Source organism: Homo sapiens, assembly GCF_000001405.40.
Source record: "Homo sapiens chromosome 1 unlocalized genomic scaffold, GRCh38.p14 Primary Assembly HSCHR1_CTG3_UNLOCALIZED".
NCBI lineage: Eukaryota > Metazoa > Chordata > Mammalia > Primates > Hominidae > Homo > Homo sapiens.
In genome coordinates, this window is record NT_187363.1 from 108,466 (window position 1) to 116,328 (window position 7,863).

The following is a 7,863-nucleotide window of genomic DNA, read 5'->3' on the forward strand; positions in this document are numbered from 1 at the left end:
TATTCTGCCTCAGCCTCCCAAGTAGCTGGTACTACTGGCAAACACCACCAAACTTCGATAATTTTTGTATTTTTAGTAGAGGTTTGGTTTTGCCATGTTGGTCAGGTTGGTCTCAAACTCCTGATTTCAGGTGATCCACCCACCTCAAGCTCCCAAAGTGCTGGGGTTACAGGTGTGAGCCTCTGCGCCCAGCCTAATTTTTTTTATTTTTAGTAGAGATGGGGGTTTGCCATGTTGACCAGGCTGGTCTTGAACTTCTGACTTCAGGTGATCTGCCCACCTTGGTCTCCCAAAGTGCTGGGATTACAGGCATGAGCCACTGCACCTGGCCACTTCTAAGCTTCTTACATGCAGAAATCAGAACCTGGAATCTGTTTCTAAGACTTTTCTTCTTAATGCCTGTGTGGACAATTAAAGGATTTTTCTCCTCAGGACTCTGAATATGATGAATTGTATTAGTAGACTTTCTAATATTGAGCTTTTCTTAATTTGTGAAATAAACTCAGAAAAGTCCTTCTTGGTCTTAACAGTTTATTTCTCTTTGTAAATATTAGGGATTCTGTGGATTCTGTACTTGTTCCTTTTTATCCTTTCATTCTCTTAGGTTCATTTGGTCTGATGGATTCAGGTACCATTGAAATTCTGATAGTTTGAAAATCTTTATCTCCAGCTTTGATCTATCTTGTGAACTCTGGAACTGTATTCCCAATTGCCAGTTGGGCATCCCTACATATGGGACCTCAGATATTTCCAACATGACGTGTCCAAGTCTGTATCACTTCTGGCCATCATATTGTTCTTTTATTTTTCCAAATTTCACATCACCAGTAACAAACTAGCTGTAATCATGGCAGATAGCCTGGAAATAAAACTCCCCTTTTTACCCTCTGCACAGCAAATTGACATCAAATCCTGTTTCTCCTTGTTTTCCTTTTAACTATTGCTTCCCTATTCTGTATTCTCACTCCTCCATCTTCTGATGTAGGAGGTCATCTGTCTTTCTCTTTTCCTCTCCTCTGACTCTTAAGCCCTTTCCCATTCTCTTTCTCAGGAATGGCTGTTAAAATGCCAATATGGTCATGTAACTTTCCTGTACTTAGTGAACCTCCTTATTTACACCCTGTTTGTGAAGAGGCTGTGTTCACCCTGGGTGGACACAGAATGTTTTTGGCATGTACAAAGAGAATTTTATGCTGCCTGTGTAGAGCTACTAATTTGTAAGTACACTCAGCTTTTTGTATCTGTAGGTTTAATATCTGTGTATGTAAACAAACTTGGATGCAAAATATTTGAAATAAAATCAGACGCTTGCATCTGTAGTGAACATATTCAGACTTTTTCTTGTCATTACTTGCTAAACAACACAACTATTTACATCCACATTGTATTTGGTCTTCTAAGTGTGAAAGGAAAATAAAGATTGGGACTGCAACTCATTAAGCTAAAGGGAAAAGTCAAGCTGGGAACTCAGTCATGCAAACCTGCCTCCTCCTTTTGGTTCCTAAATAAGATGGCTACAAGACAAAAAGCTCATATTTTTCCCACAAGGAAATTTCTGGTGTGCTTTAAGATCTTTAAAGTGTTTCTGTTAAAATTCATCATGGCAATGTAAATCAATAGCTTATCCTTTTTATTCTTTTTTTTTTGAGATAGAGTTTCACTATTGTCACCCAGGCTGGAGTGCAATGGCACAATCTCGGCTCACCGCTACCTCTGCCTCCCGGGTTCAAGTGATTCTCCTGCCTCAGCCTCCTGTGTAGTTGGGATTACAGGCATGAACCACCACACTTGGCTAATTTTGTATTTTTAGTAGAGACGGGGTTTCTCCATGTTGGTCAGGCTGGTCTTGAACTCCTGACCTCAGGTGATCCACCCACCTCAGCCTCTTAGAGTGCTGGGATTACAGATGTGAGCTGCTGTGCCTGGTCTGATATCTCATCTTTACAATGCATAGGACAGAACTCAGAGTCATCCCTCTGCCCACCTGACACAAATGCATATCTGATTGTTCCCCTCCATGTTTGTCTATGTTATGTATAAATGCAGATTCACTGAGCCAAAGGCATGAATGACTGTATCAATCTGTTCTCACCCCTCTGCCCACCTGACACACATGCATATCTGATTGTTCCCCTCCCTGTTTGTCTATGTTATGTATAAACGCAGATTCACTGAGCCAAAGACATGGATGACTGTATCAGTCTATTCTCACCCCTCTGCCCTCCTGACACAAATGCATATCTGATTGTTCCCCCTCCCTGTTTGTCTATGTTATGTATAAATGCAGATTCACTGAGACAAAGGCATGAATGACTGTATCAGTCTTTTCTCATACTGCTCTGAAGAAATACTCAAGACTGGGTCATTTGTAAAGGAAAGAGGTTTAATTGACTCACAGCTCTGCATGGCTGGGGAGGCCTCAGGAAACTTACAATAATGGCAGAGAGCACCTCTTCACAGGGGGGCAGGAGAGACAATGAGTGCAAGCACGGGAAATGCCAGACACTTACAAAACCATCAGATCTCATGTGACTCATTATCATGAGAACAGCAAAGAGGAAACTGCCCTGATGATCCAATTACTTCCACCTGGTCCCACCCTTGACACATGAGGATTATTACAATTTATGGTGAGATTTGTGTGGGGACACAGAGCCAAACCATATCAATGAATGTTTTCCCCCTACCCCAATCTTACATGAAAACTGTATTTCTCAATATTTCACCCTTTCCCCTTTAAATTTGGAGCCCTCATAATCATTTTTGAAGAAAGGCATAGACCTGTCTCCTGGGTGTGCATCCTTAACGTTAGCAAATAAACCTCTTAAAATGATCGAGATTTGTCTCAGTTGTGTTTCCTGATTGACCGAAGTGTTCCAGAGATGATATAAAGTACAGTCATGCATGGCTTAATGACATGTGTATGTTCTGAGACATGCATTACTAAGCAATATTTTTGTTTTGTGAACATCATAAAGTGTACTTACATAACCCTAGATGGTATATATGTTTATATTTTTTCATGTGAGAAACCATATGTTCTAGCACCGTCATTGAATATCAGTCACTTTCCCTACTTGATCTGCAGTGCTAGTATCAAGTCCCACATATCAGGTTTTATCGGGGGAACCAGCCCCCAATATTTCAACGTAGGTTCTTTCTATTTTCCCTAAGTGTTGGCTGGTCTGAGAAATAAAGGGTACAAAGAAAGAAATTTTACATCTAGGCCTCTGGGGGTGTCATCACATTGGTAGGACCATGATGGTGACCTTGAGCTGCAAAACCAGCCAGTTTTTATTAGGGATTTTGAAAAGGGAGGGGGTTTACGAACAGGGAGTAGGTCACAAGGGTCACATGCTTCAAAGGGCCATAAAGATCACAAGGTGAAGGCAAAATTAGAACCACTGATGAGGGTCTGTGTCCCACTGTGCACACATTGTCTTGATAAACATCTTAACAGGAAACAAGGTTCAAGAGCAGAGACCAGTCTGACTAGAATTCACCAGGCTGGAATTTCCCAATCCTAGCAAGCCTGAGGGTACTGCAGGAGACCAGGGTGTATTTCAGTCCTTATTTCAACTGCATAAGACAGATACTCCCGGAGCGGCCATCTATAGACCTACCCCCGGGAATGCATTCCTTTCCCAGGGTATTAATTATTAATATTCCTTGCTGAGAAAAGAATTCAGTGATATTCTCTTATTCACACGTCCATCTATAGGCTCTCTGCAAGAAGAAAAATATGGCTGTATTCTGCCCGACCCCGCAGGCAGTCAGAACTTATGGTTATCTTCCCTTGTTCCCTGAAAATCGCTGTTATTCTGTTCTTTTTCAGGGTGCACTGATTTCATATTGTTCAAACACCCATGTTTTACACTCAGATTTGATATTGTTTGAACACACGTTTTACAAACAATTTGTACACTTAACGCAATCATCACAGGGTCTTGAGGTGACATACATCCTCAGCTTATGAAGATGATGGGATTAGATTAAAGTAAGACAGGGATAAGAAATTATAAAAGTATTAATTATAAAAGTATTAATAAATGTCCATGAAATCTTCACAATTTATGTTCTTCTGACACGGTTCCCACCATTCCCTCCATTCGGGATCTCTGACTTCCTGCAAGAAGGTTTCTATATGTGTTTATAATCTTAAGGGGCCATGGTAATATACATGGTTCATTATTGATTAAAAGGTCATTATGGGGCACATGACTGCATATGGAAGGATAAGCATGGGTTATATGCAAATATACCATTTTATATAAGACTTGAGCATCAGTGGATTTTGGTATCTGTGGGGGTATTCTGGAGCTGATTTCCCATGGATACTGAGGAACAACTGTACTTTGAAAATGAAAGGTGTGTGCATTTTTGTCATTAAAATTAGGTCAAATATTTAAATGCAGAATCACTGCATAATCAGTTCCTTCAAGACTGCGTCTATCTCTCTCATCAAGGCCCAGGATCTTTTATCTAGATACACTGCAGTGTGTCATTCCATTAACATGGTGTGTCTTCTTTGTGTCCTTGGGACTGGACTTCAGCTACACCTCATAGTTGTGAGATGGTGTGGTTCACATGGAAGTGCTAAACAACTTTGTTTTTTCAGTGAAGTGCAACCTCATAATACTGTGCATCACCATGCCTGGCTAGTTTTTCTATTTTTTGTAGAGACAGGGTTTCACCATGTTGCTCAGTCAGGTCTTGAACTCATGAGCCCAAGGGATCCACCTGCCTCAACCTCCCAAAGTGCTGGAATTACAGGCATGAGCCACTGTACCTGTCCTAACAAACCATTTGAACTACAGGTGAAGCGAAGTCTCTCTCTCTGATATTTGGTCTTCTTTTTACAACTCCTAAAATATCTAAATGTGCCCTCCCTCTCAGGGCACACAGCCCAATCCTATTTTCTCCCATATGATAGGAAAGAAAGAATCACATAACAAACACCTAGTGATCTTCATCGTGAAGAGCACACGGTCAAAACATTTTTTAAAATCCTATTTTGAAGTCCAGTTATGCAAAGAATTAATAAATAATGACACAAATTGATGAAAGTGTAGCTATCTTACTGAAACCAGTGTAAGAACACAAATGGAATTCATAATGAGCCACAAAGTCATCTGAGTCCAGATCAAAATGTCAACGTCTTGAGAAAAGGCCCAACTGGGAGCAAACTATGAAATCTACATGAGTCTCTTAAGGACGACTTAGGGAAGGCTTGGCCTTTGGTCGTTATTATGAGACTGATATGGTTTGGCTGTGTCCTCACCCAAATCTCGAATTGTTGTTCCCATAATTCCCACGTATTGTGGGAGGGACCTAGTGGGAGGTAATTGAATCATGAGGATTGTGCTGTTCTTATGATAGTGAATAAGTCTCATGAGATCTGATGGTTGTATGCAAGGAAGTTCCCCTGCACATGCTCTCTTTTGTCTGCTGCTGTGTAAGACCTGACCTTTGCCTTCTGCCATGATTGTGAGGTCTCCCCAGCCAAGTGGCACTGTGAATCCATTAAACTTATTTTTCTTTATAAATTACCCAGTCTTGGGTATGTCCATATTAGCAGCATGAGAACAGACTAATACGGAGACTTATTATGAGTTTGATAGGAAGGTGCAGAAACAGAGTTCTGGAGTCAGATTATGGGTGACAGCTACATAATCTTTTTTATTCCAGAAAATTGAAAGATTTTATATATGAGTGGAACTTAGTTTCTGTTCAGTGTTGATGTGGGAAAAAATGAGGTTAGATTTGTGAGCAGGAGCTGAATCATTAAAAGTCTTCAAGTCCTTGCTAAAGAGTGAGAACCTAAGTTTTAAGCTGTTGTTAAGTGATTTTAAGCCCTTGAGGAACACAGTTACCTGTCTAGAGATGTTAGTCTGGAAGCGAACAAGATAACGGGAAGTAAGAGGAGTGCAGGCTGATGGAAACATGATGGAAAATGGAAATATTTCAGATGAGAGAGGGTGAGGTTTTCACTGAGTAGAGGAGTGCAGGCTGATGGAAACATGATGGAAAATGGAAATATTTCAGGTGAGAGAGAGTGAGGGTTTCACTGAGTCATAAAGTTGTGGAGAGGAAGCAGTGAGTAGAATACTTAAGAAGTAGAATTAATAAAACTTTGTGACAGAACAGGTGATGGGTCTGGGAGAGAACTATATCTGGAACAGTGGATCTCAGAGTGCTCCATGAAAATAAGACTCTTTCTATCATAATACAGCTATGTTACTTTTCTTTTTTGCTTTTTTTGTTCTCTGCTTTGGTGCAAAAGCAGTAGTAAGTAAAACCGTAGCAAAAACAAGACAGCGGCTCCAAATAATAGTAGCAGTTCTATTATTTACAGTCACTTGGTTGCCTAAATAAGTAAACAGGCCAATTTTATTTTCATGTTACTTAAGAATATCATTGATGAAGCAGTAAAAAATAACATTTTCATTAAATCTATATCCCCAAGTATGTCTTTTCAGTATTCTATTTGATAAAATGGTAAGAACTCATAGAGCACTTATTACTTAAAAATGAAATAAGTGTGACAGGGTGCAGTGGCTCATGCCTGTAATCCCAGCACTTTTGGAGCTCAAGAGTTTGTGACCAGTTGGAGCAACATGGTGAAACCCAATCTCTACAAAAAAATGTTAGCCAGGGGTGATGATGTAAGCCTGTAGTCTACTGTAGGGATGAGCCCTACAGGGTCTTTGGGTTTTCCTCACCGTGTGCAGAGATGAGAGATCATAGAAATAAAGACACAAGACAAAGAGATAGAAGAAAACACAGTTGGGCCAGGGGGACCACTGCCACCAAGATGTGGAGACTGGTAATGGCCCCGAATGCCTGGCCGAACTGTTATTTATTGAATACAAGGCAAGTGGGCAGGGTAAGGAGTGTGAGCCATCTCCAGTGATGGGTAAGGTCACGTGGGTCTCTTGTCCACCAGTCGGGGGACCTTCCTTGTTTGGCAGCCGAGGCGGAGAGAGAGGGAGGACAGCTTACGCCATTATTCCGTCTGTGCATTCCAAAGACTTTTAGTACTTTCACTAATTCCGCTACTGCTATCTAGAAGGCCAAGCCAGGTGCAGAGGGCGGAACATGAAAGCAGACCAGGAGCCTGACCGCTGAAGCACAGCATCACAGGGAGACAGGACTCCGGATGGCTGCGGGCGAGCTTGACTGATGTCGCCTTCCACAAGAGGTGGTGGAGCAGAGTCTTCTCTAACTACCCCGGGGAAAGGGAGACTCGCTTTCCCGGTCTGCTAAGTAACCGGTGCCTTCCCAGGCACTAGCGCTACCGCTAGACCAAGGTCTGCTAAGTAACAGGCGTCTTCCCAGGCGCTGGCGTTACCGCTAGACGAGGGAGCCCTCTGGTGGCCCTGTCTGGGAGTGACAGATGGCTCATACTCTTGTCTTCTAGTCACTTCTCACCATGTCCCTTCAGCTCCTATCTCTGTATGGCCTGGTTTTTCCTAGGTTATAGTCGTGGAACAGAGATTATTATAATATTGGAATAAAGAGTAATACTACAAACTAATGATTACTAATATTCACATATCATCATTTATATTCTATTTCTAGTACAAGTATTCTTCTATATATTTTCTTTATTACACTGGAACAGCTCATGCCCTCAGTCTCTTGCCTTGGCACCTGGGTGGCTTGAGGCCCACAGTCTACTACTGGGGAGGCTGAGGCGGGAGGATCATTTGGCCCCGGGAGGCAGAGGTTGCAGTGAGCTATGATTGCACCACTGCACTCCAGCCTGGGCAACAGAGCAAGACCTTGCCTGAAAAAAAAAAAGTGAGATTGTCTTAAAGAAAAATAACTGAGCTGTTACTGAAAATGTAAAAAGTTTTCAAG